Here is a 14,316-nt window from a genome sequence, read left to right on the forward strand (position 1 = left end):
GCCAGGCAGTTGTTAACTTTCTCTCTAAAATAATACTTGGTCATGGCCAGCACCAGGGAAAGGCAGTCTTCCTATATAGAGAGGAAACACCTGTAACTGGTAATCCGCAGCTTTCGGGAGTTGGGCAAGTGAACCCAAGCATGCACATTGAGAGACAAAATGGCAGAGTATGACCTTCCAGGGGCATTCCACTGGAAATGGGAAGAAAGCCTCAGGTGAGCATGTGTACAACTTCTTAAACACACTGTGCATGCTCACCTCCCAAGCACAAGGAGGGCACTGCACATGCAGCTGTCTCACCCTAAGGGAAGAATCAAAAGAAAGGGGTGCAAGATGCCAGAAATATGCGAGCATATAAAACTCCAAGTCAAAAGGTCAAACACTGCACTTGTCCTTCAAGTTGCCCGTTTGGGTCTCTTCCAAGTGTACTTTCCTTTTATTCTTACTCTAAAGCTTTTTAATAAACTTCCACTCTTGCTCTGAAACTTACCTCCATCTCTTTTCTGCCTTATGGCCCTCAGTTGAATTCTTTCTTCTGAGGAGGCAAGAATTGAGGTTGCTGTAGACTGGTACAGATTTGCCACGGGTAACCCAGATATTTGCCACCCATAAGAAAGGGAGAAGAAGCATTCCTGCTTTTGAAGCTAGCTGATGGACCCATGCCCCTTCTAATCATATTATATTGAGAAGAACTAGTCATGTGGTTCCACCTAAAGGCAAGGGAGGTTAGGGAATGTCATTACTGGTAGGGCGGCCACTACTTCCCAGCAACAACTTTATACCATGAAAGAAGCAGCCCAGATTTAGGAGGACAATGATTTCTGCTACAGGTAATAAATAACCAGTTAGAAACATTCTCTGAGAAGGCAGGACAGAACAGAATCCAGAACATACATGAAAGAATTTGCTTTTGATAGGAGAAGGGAGAAACCCTCCATTGAAAGAGAAGGAATGAGAAGTAAATAGGGGTTTGTATTTTTCTCACTTATAGTGAGTGCCAATTGGAGGAACAGCATAAAGAGTATAGGAGTTGAAACCAAGCTATGCCCAAATTTGGGACCCTAGTCTACCATACAGAATTTGCCTGAGGAATAAGGACTGCTGGTCACCTACTTTAGCAGAATGTTTACTAACAGGATTGAATTAAAAGGAATACACAGACAGGATAAACCACGCTTGAAGAAAGCTGAGATTTATTCTTTTGGGGGCTACTTCACCTATTTCTGGCCTCTGTCATGATGATCTAAAGAAAAACTCAGAGAATGAGGTTTTGTCTCAAAATGAAATCACCTTAAAGCAGTGCCAAAGGCCTTGCCCTCCCTCAAATATAACAGCATAAAAAACAAACTAAAAACCTTGCTAAAAGTAACCTGGGGGAAGAGTTCAAAAGATAAACAATAAGTTGCTCTCTACTTGTAGAAGCTGAGGGAAAGCTGATCACGAGCTAGGTCAGGTTAGCCAGCTCTGATACCACAACTTGTGGTGAAGTCAGCAGCACAAATTCAAAAAGCCTTGCTGTGCTAAGCTTCACTATCTTGGCTCTCACACAAGAAAGGGAACTTGTGACCGAAAGGGACACTCCAAAAAGAATTTCAATGAAGTACAACTTGAACAAAAACAATAAGTTGCCCAGATTTCTTGGATCACAGACAGAGGGCCTGGCATGTGGAATGAATGCCATCAGCAGAGAACACAGCCTTGATTGGTAGCTATGGAGCCCACTGCCCACGTGGTGTCCCCAGGCTGGCTTCCTGGTGAATGCTTTTTGGTGAATGCCAATCCACTCCCCCGGCTCCTTCTTGCTGTTTTTTCCTCCCTCCAAATGATTCCCACAGAAATTTTTCCCACCCTAGACACCATGATAAATACTCTTTACTAAGATGTCATCACAGTTTGGCTTTGTAAAAAATTTTCCTTCAGGAACGCAGAGCAACATTGATGGTAGGAATTAAAATGGTTCAACCCTTTGGAGAATTGTTTAGCAGTTTCTCACAGTGATAAACATATATCTACCCTGTGATTCAACAGTTCCACTCCTGGGTATTTACCCAAGAGCAGTGAAAATATATGTTCACACAAAGACTATCACAAGAATGTTCATGGCAGCTTTATTTATAACAAGCAAAAACTGGATGCAACCTAAATATCTATCAACAGGAAAATGGATAAACAAACTGTTGTATATCTACACAATTCAATAGTACTTGGCTCTAATTATCTGATTTTTAAAATGGGCAAAAGATTTGAATAGACATTTCTCAAAAGAAGATATACAAATGGTAAACAGGCATATGAAAAAGTGCTCAACATCATTGATCATCAGAGAAATGCAAATCAGAACTACACTGAGATATCATCTCACTCCAGTTAAAATGGCTTTTATCCAAAAGACAGGCAATAACAAGTGCTGGTGAGGATGTGGAGGAAAAGGAACCTTTGTACAATGCTGCTAGGAATGTAAATTAGTGCAACCACTATGGAGAACAGTTGGAGGGTCCTCAAAAAACTAAAAATAGAGCTATAATGTGATCCAGCAACCCTACTGCTATGTATATTCCCAAAAGAAAGGAAATCAGAATATCGAAGAGATATTTACACTCCGATGTTTGTTGCAGACTGTTCACAATAGCCAAGATTTGGAAGCAACCTAAGTGTCCATCCAGTGATGAATAGATACAGAAAATGTGGTACCTACACAGAATGGAATACAATTCAGCCATAGAAAAGGATGAGATCCTGTCATTTGCAAAAACATGATTATAACTGGAGGTCATTTTGTTAAGTGAAATAAGCCAGGCACAGAAAGACAAACATTGCATATTCTCACTTATTTGTGGGTTCTAAAAATCAAAACAATTGAACTCATGGAGATAGAGAATAGGATGGTTACCAAAGGCTGGGAAGGGTAATGGCAGAGGGGGTGAGCAGGAGGTGGGGATAGTTAATAGGTACAAAAAAAGAATAGTTAGAAAGAATGAATAAGATCTAGTACATGATAGCACAATGAGTGAACTATAGTCAGTACTCATTTAATTATACATTTACAAATAGCTATAAGTATAATTGGATTGTTTATAACACAAAGGATAAATGCTTGAGGGGATGGATACCCAATTTTCCATAATGTGATTATTACACATTGCATGCCTGTACCAAACTATTTCATGTACCCCATAAATATGTACCCACAAAAATTAAAAAATAAAAAAATTTAAATACTACTGGTAAGCGCAATGGCATGAATGAATTACCGAAACAGTATGCTGAGTGAAAGAAAGCCAGATGCACACAAACAAAATTATACAGTATGATTCTGGGATGATGAAAATATTCTATATCTTGTTTTGAATGGTGGTTGCATGAGTGTATAAAGTTGTCAAAACCCATTTAACTGAACATCTCAAATCAAGGCTTTTATTGAATATACATTATACCTCAAAAATAATCTTTTATGAAATGCTGTTAACATACCCTTTACCTATTCTCACACTTCAGGTGCTGGAAAATATGCTTCCTGTCCCTTCTAATACCTTAGAATGGCTTACAAAGCAGTCTAGAATTTAAAGGCAAACACCAGCAGCAGTAAATGACACACTGCAGCTAAACCCATGGAGAAACGGGCTGTGAGTGCCTTGGCATGGGGCACTGGAATTAAACCCTGTTAACTGTATTTTTGTCACGAACAGACACCTCTTCTATTCTGGCTTAGAAGTAGGTAAATGCTAATTTTAACTATACTGGCTCCTGGGGATTACACTGAGAGAACTTAGCAAGAACTGACACATATAGTATGGGAATAGAAAAATCTGGTGTCATCATCTGTTAATTTTTTTTTTTTTTTTTTTTTTGAGACAGAGTCTTGCTGTCACCCAGGCTGGAGTGCAGTGGCGCTACCTTGGCTCACTGCAAGCTCCGCCTACCAGGTTCATGCCATTCTCCTGCCTCAGCCTCCCGAGTAGCTGGGACTACATGCGCCCACCACCATGCCTGGCTAATTTTTTGTATTTTAGTAGAGACAGGGTTTCACCATGTTAGCCAGGATGGTCTCGATCTCCTGACCTTGTGATCCACCCACCTCGGCCTCCCAAAGTGCTGGGATTACAGGCGTGAGCCAACATGCCCGGCATCTTTTAAATTTAATTTAATTTTTAAATTAAAAAAAATTACCAGGCATGGTGGCTCATGTCTGCAATCCCAGCAACAGCACTTTAGGAGGCTGAGGCAAGTGGATGGCTTGAGCCCAGGAGTTTCAGAACAGCCTGGACAACATGGCAAAATCCCATCACTACAAAAAATACAAAAATTATTTAGGTGTGGTGGCATGTGCTTGTGGTCCCAGCTACTCAGGAGGCTGAGGCGGGAGGATTGCTTGAGCCCAGCAGGTGGAGGCTGCAGGGAGCCAAGATCATGCCCCTGCATTCCAACCTAGGCAACAGAATGAGACCCTGTCTCAAAAAAAAAAAAAAAAAAAAAAAAGAAAGAAAGAAAAAGAAAAAAATTTGAGAGACAGTCTCACTCTGTCACCCAGGCTAGAGTGCAGTGGCATGAACATGGTTCATTGCAGCCTCAACCTACCATGCTCAAGCAATCCTCTTACCTCAGCCTCCTGGGTAGCTGGGACTAAAGGTGTGCACCATCATGCCCAGCTAATTTTTAAATTTTGTGTAGAGATAGAGTCTCCTGATGTTAGCCAGGCTTGTCTCGAACTGCTGGGCAATCCTTCAGCCTCAACCTCCCAAAGCATTGGGATTCCAGCTGCACATAGCCTGTGTTGTCATCTTTAATCCCTATATAGACTCCCTTCCCTGAGTTCCTATTGTATTCTTACCTGTACCAAACAACTCAGCTCTTTATTTTGTATATAATAGATTACTTATGAGGCAGGCAATACAGTGGAATGGTTAAAAACATGGTCTGTATAATCCAAGAGAAACCTGAGTTCAAATTCTGGCTCTGTGATTTATTACCCGTCTAAATTCGGAGAATGCACTCAGCTTCTCTATAGTTCAATAACCCATATGCTAGACAGTCTGGATTCCAAGAGGGAAAGATTGAAGAGGGATGTTCTATACTTACCAAACTTGTCAGTTTCACTCTCCTGGGATAGAATGGTCAGCAGTTTGGGAGAGCTGAAGGTTGTGCTAATAGAAAGGAAACATCGGGAATGGGAACAAAACATTATCTCCCTAGCAAATTGTATGGGATTTCACCACGTTCAAAGCTCTTCCACCTAAATTGTCTATGGTAAGATTGCTGTGCAGTCTTCCATAGAGAGGACATAACACAGTGTCTGTTCATTCTAGTGGATGGGAATTTGGGTAGTTTCCAGCTAGGGGCTTTTATGACTACTGTTGCTATTAGCATAAATGTCTTATTATCCATACTTAATAAATATAGAAATGGTGGTTCAAAAATTATTGTCTGTATCAACATGAAGCTGACAATAAACCAACTACACCTTCAGTAAGTGAACAAAGTGATTTTCAATGACTTTTGTTAGTTTCTAATATAGGCAAATATTCTAAACTTTTAATTGACAAATACATAAAGAAAAAGGCACAAGTAGTAAGTATACACTGTGATGGATTTTGTATAAATCAAACATAAGCATGTAGTCGTCACCCAAATTAAGAAACTGAACACTCCCAGTGCCTCCAAAACCAGCCTCCACAGCCACTTCCTCACAGCCTCCCCAAAGAGTAACCATATCTTCACTTCTAACACTGAAATTAGTTCTGCCTGTTTTTGAACTATATATAAGTGGAATCATATTAAATCACACACTAGGCTCCTTTTTGCCCATCACTTTTGCTCAGTTTGGTATGATTTATCCATGCTGTGATCATTCTTATTGCTGTGCAGTCTTCCATAGAGAGGACATAGCACAGTGTCTGTTCATTCTAGTGGATGGGCATTTGGGTAGTTTCCAGCTGGGGGCTTTTATGACTACTGTTGCTATTAGCATAAATGTCTTTCTGTGAGCCAATATATGAATTTTTGTTCTGTAAAAATTCAGTAGTAGACTTGCTGAGTCTTCATATGTTCAGCTTGAATAGAGAGTGCCAAACATTTTCCAAAAGGTTTGTTCCAACTTGCATTCCTACCAGCAGCTAGCTCCTTTTGTTTCCCATCCTTGTCAATACTTGTTACTATCAGTCTTTTGCATTTTGGCCATTGTGGTGAAGCTGGGGCACATTTTATCTTCAGTACCAACTGTTGGCAGTCTTTTTTTTTTTCTGCTACTTGAGTTTCATTTCCTTTCACACAGTGGCTAGATACTTTCGTTCCAGTTTCTTCTTTTACTTAAAGTTGTCCTCTCTACAAGAAATTCTGGTGAGTTCTTTCTTGTCTTGTCTTTGTTTTTCTTTTTCCCCTAATGTTGCTTTCAGTCACCCTGATACGTACTTCTTAACTACCTCTCAGAGCCACTCCTCCAGGTGACCTCTGTGACACTGATCAGGGCGTTCAGCCACCTGGATCATGACCCCACTTGTACCCCCAGGGTCCCTGGGTTTGAATTTTCTCTCCTATCTCATCTAGTCTCATTCATACGCATCCTGGGACCAGTTCTAGTCCCATTTCTTTACCAGGCCCTAAAAACTGTCAGATAGGCCAGGCACGGTGGCTCGCGCCTGTAATCCCAGTACTTTGGGAGGCTGAGGTGGGTGGATCACGTGAGGTCGGGAGTTCGAGACCAGCCAGACCAACATGGAGAAACCCCGTCTCTACTAAAAATACAAAATTAGCTAGGTATGGTGGTGCATGCCTGTAATCCCAGCTTCTTGGGAGGCTGAGGCAGGAGAATCACTTGAACCCAGGAGGCAGAGGTTGCGGTGAGCCAAGGTCGTGCCATTGTACTCCAGCCTGGGCAACAAGAGCAAAACTCTGTCTCAAAAAAACAAAAACAAACAAACAAGAAAACTGTCAGTTAATAAAAACAGTTAGCATTTGTTGACAGTTTACATAATAATCTTACATTCTACACAAAAATTCTACATTTTACAGATGGGGAAACTAAGGAACAGGAAGATTAAAGTTTCCAGAGTTCAAACTGCTACTGATTGACAGAGCCAGAATTCAAACCCAGCAAGTCTTAACCCTACAGTGCACACTCTTAGGACTTCGGTGACTTCAGCCCCTGCTGTCTGTGCCACTCAACTGCCAACTCTATTTAGATTCTTGTGTTCCTGGTCATCTTTATATTTCCATCTCCATCACCATGATTTTGAATCTTTGGGATCTCCCGTCTGATCTTGTAGGGCATTTAACAAATGGAAATATTGGTTGAAAAGAAAAGTAAAAACTTAAAAATTCTATGTGAGAAATAATACCACAAGGTGAAAACACGGATAACAAATCAGAAGAATAAAATATATGACAAAGATTTAATATCCTTACCACCCTTTTACAAATCTATAATAAAGAAGGCATGCAACCTATCGTTAAAAATGAGTAATATAAAAATGAGTAACATAAGAGTTGATCCTTTCATAGTTCATATGCGTGCTGATTGGGGGTTCATGCTCTGGTGTGAGATGTGCTTCCCTCAAGCCTTGTTAAGACATGAGCACATTACCATCTGATATGAACATAATAATAATAAAAATAAGTAATGTAACAGTAAAGTAAGCAATTCACACTAGTGGAAATGGCTAAGTAATTTATAAAAAGGTTTACTTCACTGGTAATAAAATGAATGAAAATCTGATTTTTTACTTTATACTTTCCTATATTCATGTATTTATTCATTTTTCAAGAGTATGTATTAGTTTTATCCTTTTAAATTTTAATTTGATTAATTAATTACTTAATTAATTTTTCTAGAGATGGAGTCTTACTGTGTCACCAAGGCTGGAGTGCAGAGGCACAATCATGGCTCACTGCAGCCTCAAACTCCTGAGCTCAGGCAATCCTCCCACCTCAGCCACCAGAGTAGCTGGAACTACAGGCACATGCCCACTACATCCAGCTAATTTTTTATTTTTTGCTGAGATTGGGGTCTTGCTATGTTGCCCAGGCTGGTCTCAAACTCCTGGCTTCAAGCAATACCCCCATCCTGGCTTCCCAAGGTGCTAGGATTGCAGGCATGAACCACTGCTCCTGGCCTTATCATTTTCTATTAGTTATTTCTATTTGGGGAAAACAAAAGAATGTATATCACACATTCTAAGAATCTGAAACTCTCTGGTGTCTAATGGCAGGGGTTAAACAGTTAGGGGGCAAAGAGCTGCATTTCTAAGAAACCATTTATCACTCACTCAATCTTTTTTTTACTTACTCAATTTTCTGCCCCCATGTTTCTGGGCAAATTAGTCACATCTGGACCTTGTCATCAGGACCTGGCATATCTTGCCTCTCTCCCTTTCCTTTTTGTCCTGAGGATACAGTAGAGCCCTATAAACCAGACTCCTGGGACTTACCTGCAGTACTACACTTTCCACTGGATCCCAGCCAGTGGGATCATTTGTGGCCAGTTCAGATGCCACAGCCCCTACGATGGCCTATTAAAAATCTGCATTGTCTGTTGATGTGACATACCTCCTGGCAGAAAACCCAGCCATCACCTCAGACCCCAGCCCAGCTCCTCTTTCATTCCTCTCTCATCTTCTTCACTTTCAACCATGAACTTACCTGTCCTTCATACAAGAGTCCTAATAATATAAAATAGTGTCTATAATTTATTGAGTGTTATTATAACTTCATGCTAAGAATCAACACATATCTTCTCATTTTAATCCTCCCAACAATGCTTTTAGTTGCATATAATCACTATTTTACAGACATAAAAAATGAGGATTGCACAGGAACAGCCGAGCCAGGATGTTAACATTTGTCTGTCTGGCCTTCTTTTGACCAGGGGTCTTTCTTTCCTCAGTTTTTCTTTCGCCCTGACTTTGTTCTCTGTTAGGTCTGGATTCCTAGCACCATCAGGCGACCTGCTCTCTCTCCCCATATAATCGCTTGGATTTCTTCTGATAGTGCCCAAGCAAGCCCTTAACAGTTTCCCTTTGTTGTCATCTGCACGGACAACCTGTATGATCAGACATGCCCATCAGTTTCTTCCTGAATCTTTACTCTCAATACCTGTCAATCCAGTGCAGCCCAACTTAGAAGCTCCTCTGCCTGTCTCCAGTAACCTGCAGCATCAGATGATTCCAGTTTGAATGGGAAAATGCTTTGTTTCTCTTGACTAAAAAACTGGGACTAGCAGGGCATATTTGTGTTTTCAAAGACGAATGTATCAGTCCAAGAAAGTTTCTAATGCAAGTAAATTTTCTAATTAGCAATGGTCCCCAATCTTTTTGGCACTAGGGACCAGTTTCCTAGAAGAGAATTTTTCCACAGACAGGTTGGGGGTGAGGATGGGGTTACGGTTTTGCAATGAAACATTTCCACCTCTGATCATCAGGTACTAGTTACATTCTCATAAGGAGCACACAACCTAGATCCCTTGCATGAGCAGTTCACAATACGGTTCATGCTCCTGTGAGAATCTAATGCCACTGCTGATCTGATGGGAGGCAGAGCTCAGGCGGTAATGCTCACTCGCTTGCTGCTCACCTCCTGCTGTGTGGCCCGGTTCCTAACAGGCCACAGACCAGTAACAGTCCACTGCCCAGGGTCCTAGGGACCCCACCTCTAATAGGAAGAAATTCAGAAAAGGGGATGGGAGGTGACATTTTACAGAAAAGGAAGCTGAGTCTCAGAAAGTGTTTGTCTTGGCCAAAAATAAGCAGCAAAATGTGAAAATGAAATTTCACTCTCTAATCATTTCCTCCAAGCCTTGTCCTCTTTCTGTCCCCACCCGGCACCCTTCGTGAGCTGGCAATAAAAATCTCCCTCCTAGGTTTTCATGCTTATAGGAGAAGTCATTTGCTCAGAGAATCCCTGAGATGCATGGGGACAGGACTAGCCTTCTCCCCTTCTCCACTTTACTCCATCTGGCCTTGCAGTGAGCCCTCTCTATGAGTAAAATTGTTGACGAGACCATTCACTCAATTATAGCATTTTATGTGATATTATTTCATGAAATAAAATGTTCAGCTCTTGATTACCAGCCTCCCAGTTTTCCACCAAGGATGTGATGTGTTCTCAATGTACATTTAAGTTCTGTGAAGATTTTCCATTCATACATTCATCCAATAAATGTCAAGACATAAAGAATGCCAAGTCCCAGGAAGAGAAAGAAGAGTCCCATAGAATAAGGGGTTTAATTTCATGAAATGATTTGCATCAAATTCACTGGCCTCTCCTTGACTTCCAAACTCATTATCTTTCTAACCCAAGGCTCAAGGTAAGCCTGCATTCTTGTGACTCTTTCTGACAGTCAATCGTAACAAATCATGCTACCTCGGCTAACTGTCTTCACTTGATGTTCTACCCAGAAAAGCACAGTTGCTTTTCCTTCTGACCACAGCAGCCCTAGCCACACCCTGCATTGTCCAAGGGCATAGAGCCAAATTGCTGCTGTCACTGCTGCCACCTTTTGCTCCCTGACACCATCTAACAGAGCCTTGTGTCCCTACTATACTCCATGTCTTCCATCTCTAGGCTCCTCTTTTGCCACTGAGGAGCCCAGTAGGTGCCCACATTAGACACACTTCCTCACTGGCCAGACAGCAGGTGGGCAGAACCACAAACTCACTTAAGCTGCTGTCTTGAGATGCAGCTTTCTCAGGGACAGCTGGAGAGACAAAGTACACAGTCTCTAAGTGCAGTGGTCATGTCTTGTTCATCTTTACATCTTAGCACCTAGAATAGTCTTTAGCACTGGGTAGGAGCTCTGCAAATATTTGTGGAAAGAAGGAAGAGAAGGAAACCAGAATACTGAGGTGATTTGCCTAAGACACCTAGTTTAGCAGAGAACTAGATACGAATCCTGGCTCCCAAAGTCCTGTATCCATGCTCATTCCACTCTACCACTCTAGGCTTACATTGGCCTCCTGAAAGAAGGAAAAATGAGATAAATAACAAGGGAAGGGAGAGAGGATACAGAAGAGAACACCCAGTAAGGAAAATTTGGGGTTGTATTTGCAGGTGGCATAGCCACAAGGCCAGAGCTGATGTTTTCCTGGGCCCGAGGTGGTCTACTCCAAGGCAGATACATTGTAGTTATGGATAAATGGTGCTATTGATCAAATTCTCACATCTGGAAAAGGTCTAGCAAAATTGTTAATTCCAGGCATAGTGAAAGTAGCTCAAAAATATGTATTTTCAAAATGTAAATATGGACAATTACCATTATCCCACCTCCAATCTCCAAGCTTTTCTTTATTTCATTAATCATTTAAAAAATAAATATAATCTTTTCCTACCTAACCCAGCAAGATAAATGTGTCCTAAGAATTTGCTATTATTATTGCTGTTACTTAAAACATCTTTAGTGAACCAAGCATAGCAGGTATTAATTAATCTGATTTAATTAGAATGAGTCAAATTATATTCAGAAACCCCAGTGAAAATTTTAATAAGAAATTTCTTTTCAGAATATGACTTTGATGCAATTTTACTTTTTTCATGAGGTATGGACTGAGGAAGAGGAAGGAAGAGAAAGTAGGTAAAAGGAAATTTTTTTTTGCATTGCCATACTGTTAACCAAGACTAAAGACCAGAAGCAGAGAAATGGAATAATTAAAAAGTGATGACAATGTAATATTTAGGCATGCTGTCACACAGAGTCCAACAAAATGGTTTTAGAAATTATCTTTAATTCTTTTACTTACTGGGGAAAAAAATAATCCAGAAAACTATAAAGAGATAAATATTTCCTATTATCCTGTTGTTTGAAAATAACTACAGTTAGTATTTTAGTATATAGCCTATTCTACTGTTGCAAAATAGGTGCATTTCTAAGAAATCTCAACTTATCAAAAGAATGTAAAGAAACAGGTAACACTGGTTGAAATTGGAGAAGGATGGCTGGGGAATAGGGATGGAACAAAAATTTCTCATTTAGAAATACTAGCATGTGCCTTTTAGATTTTGTCCTTTAAAAGTGTATCTCCTATTAAAATTAAGCCAAATTGCAATTTAAAACTAACTTTTTTAAAAAAAAATGTTTTAATGGGAACAGAAATGTTAAAACTCACAGTAGAACAGAATTTTAAAAATAGTAATTTTAACAATAAATTTGTTTTCATAACCATAAATGTATTTGGTTATTGCTAGCTTTAATTTTAAAAAGGTAGATCAAAACCTACAAAAGGAAACACAAACTTCCTTACACTTTCCGCCACGTATTCAGCACCGTCTAATGCCTCATCACTGTTGCCATGCAGGTCTGCCTGCAGTACAGTCCATTACAGCCAGGGGAAGCAGCAGCTTTTTATCATTTCCCAGTTCCCAGTCAGTTCTGGTTATTACTAACAGTGATTCATTAAATTATGTTCAATAAGCAGCTAATTGTGCTATGTCCAATTTTTGTTAGGGACACTTTAACTGTAGGAGAAATTAATGCCTGTATAATTTTCCAAATGCTTTCCCCAGGCGTGTATACATATACTTTATATAGAAGTTATCTTTTTAAATTTGTTTTTACCAAAAAAAGAATCATAATAAACATACTACTTTAGAAGGTTTTTTTCACCCAACAAAGCATTTTGAAATTCTTCTCATTTTAACTTACCAAATTTCACCTTATCTACAATAAAAGTTTAATCCCTTATGAATGAGATTTATCTTTCAAAAAAGAAATGAATTTGCTTTTCTCCTTTCATACTGCCAGTATTTTCAGTATCTTTATGATGTTACTATACGAACATAAAAAATCAGTGTGATTCCATTACCATTTAAAGCCAGACACTAAGACCAATGGAGGCTGATATTCCTGTAGGCCATAGCAACCCTGGGAAATCTTGCCTTTGCTGAAGCTATACCAAATCCAGAAGTAATTGAAGTCCCCCTAAGGTTTCAGGTCCCCCCAAAGAAGGCAGGAGTTGTGCATTACTCAGCATTCTCAGATCTATTCTAAAGCAGATTATTTTCTTAGATTTTGATTCAATTCCATGCAATTCAAGCATTTTTATTTAATAAGTACAAGGCATTGTGCTCAAGGAGAAGTGTACAAGCTAAACTGGATCATTCTAATTTTCCTGAACACTTACAACCTCGTAGGAAGACATACATACATAAGTAAGTATGATACAAGGAAAATTTGTAAGACAAAGTAAATAAAAGTATTATAAGAAACACAGAAGAGGGATAGATTACTTTAGGCTGAGTGAGGTGGCTTTTGAGTTCCTACTAGAAGGGTGTGTAGGATTGTGACTAGAAGAGAGAGGAAGGTCTGGATGGAGCAACAAGAGTCTGGGCTATTAACACAGGTTTGAGTCAGGCTGACCGGAGCTGTAAAGCCCTTCTCGTTCTCACTGTGTGTTCTTTTCAGTTCTGTCTTCCTGAGGCTGCTGTTTCTGGGCATGGCCAGGGGATCTTCAGACTTTACAAACCAGTTGTGCAGAGCCAGGCATTTCAATAAGGAACAAAATGCTGAGTAACAACATGAAGTCAGAGTGTTGCTTGCCAAGAGCTGGGAGGCCTGGGTGGTTTCCCAATCTTAAAGAAGCAGAAGGATATTAAAGTGAGCCTCCCAAAGGAAAACGTGGATCTACTTACCAACGCAGAAAATGATACACACGGATTCGATTTAGGTAAGTGCACCCCCTGTGATGACTATTGGTCACTTCCAGATCACATGGACTAACTGTAGGTCTCAACTATTTTGACTTTTTTTTTCCAGAACAGACTAATACATAACTAACGGCTTACCTTTGTGAAAAATATTTTATGCACTGTAGAACAGATAATTTTCAGTCCTGGGCCAAAGGGGGAAACTTTGGAGAGAATTAAACAGGAAATGACTCTGCTACAAAGAATTCAGGAGCATGAGTGAAGTGAATAAACAATCCAGGCACGATTGATGAATTCTAGATGTCCTGGGAATAACAGGGCTTGTTGCCAGCTCAGATGGGTGAAATCCTACTCTGATGAAAGGCTCCAGGGCTGCAAGGAGACCACTCCTACATCCATCACATCAGTGTCACAGGTTTACCACCTGCTCAGCGATTATTCAACATCCTAAGGCCTTTTGCCCCATTACACACGTTTGACCACTTAGTCCAGGAATGAGGTACCAAATACTAGGGAGATCTCATAAAGCCTGCAGCTAAAATAAGCAGAGGAATCAGAAGCTGGACAGAGTGACCCAAGGAGGACTGGGGATAACTCAGGAGTTCCTTTTTTTTTTCTTTTTGAGATGGAGTCTCGCTCTGTCGCCCAGGCTGGAGTGCAGTGGCGCGATCTCGGCTCACTGCAGCCTCC

The 14,316-nt window shown here is 40.3% G+C and overlaps 1 long non-coding RNA gene and 1 other non-coding gene across 7 annotated transcripts in view, besides 5 other annotated features; both read left to right on the forward strand.

Moving 5' to 3' along the window:
• Nucleotides 5,984–6,033: an enhancer, noted in NCBI's record as "active region_21643". NCBI's record gives its function as "activates an Ori minimal core promoter by ATAC-STARR-seq in GM12878 lymphoblastoid cells {active_cell/tissue: GM12878}" and the evidence as "EXISTENCE:reporter gene assay evidence [ECO:0000049][PMID:35858748]".
• Nucleotides 6,124–6,173: an enhancer, noted in NCBI's record as "active region_21644". NCBI's record gives its function as "activates an Ori minimal core promoter by ATAC-STARR-seq in GM12878 lymphoblastoid cells {active_cell/tissue: GM12878}" and the evidence as "EXISTENCE:reporter gene assay evidence [ECO:0000049][PMID:35858748]".
• Nucleotides 6,284–6,333: an enhancer, noted in NCBI's record as "active region_21645". NCBI's record gives its function as "activates an Ori minimal core promoter by ATAC-STARR-seq in GM12878 lymphoblastoid cells {active_cell/tissue: GM12878}" and the evidence as "EXISTENCE:reporter gene assay evidence [ECO:0000049][PMID:35858748]".
• Nucleotides 6,464–6,533: an enhancer, noted in NCBI's record as "active region_21646". NCBI's record gives its function as "activates an Ori minimal core promoter by ATAC-STARR-seq in GM12878 lymphoblastoid cells {active_cell/tissue: GM12878}" and the evidence as "EXISTENCE:reporter gene assay evidence [ECO:0000049][PMID:35858748]".
• Nucleotides 7,483–7,585, forward strand: LOC124900901 (small nucleolar RNA U13). The gene has a single exon (XR_007058543.1). It is a non-coding gene; the product is annotated as a small nucleolar RNA U13 (small nucleolar RNA).
• Nucleotides 13,014–14,213: an enhancer, noted in NCBI's record as "MED14-independent group 3 enhancer chr4:79566785-79567984 (GRCh37/hg19 assembly coordinates)". NCBI's record gives its function as "activates an origin of replication core promoter dependent on BRD2, BRD4, P300/CBP and CDK7 cofactors, and independent of MED14, by STARR-seq in HCT116 cells {active_cell/tissue: HCT116}" and the evidence as "EXISTENCE:reporter gene assay evidence [ECO:0000049][PMID:35650434]".
• The window catches only part of LINC01094 (long intergenic non-protein coding RNA 1094), a 38,508-nt gene continuing 37,568 nt past the window's right edge, over nucleotides 13,377–14,316 (forward strand). For all 6 annotated transcript variants that reach the window (NR_038303.1, NR_038304.1, NR_038305.1 and 3 more), the window contains exon 1: nucleotides 13,377–13,646. This is a non-coding gene — a long non-coding RNA (long intergenic non-protein coding RNA 1094). The remainder of the gene's footprint in view (nucleotides 13,647–14,316) is intronic.

Source organism: Homo sapiens, chromosome 4 (genome assembly GCF_000001405.40).
Source record: "Homo sapiens chromosome 4, GRCh38.p14 Primary Assembly".
Lineage (NCBI taxonomy): Eukaryota > Metazoa > Chordata > Mammalia > Primates > Hominidae > Homo > Homo sapiens.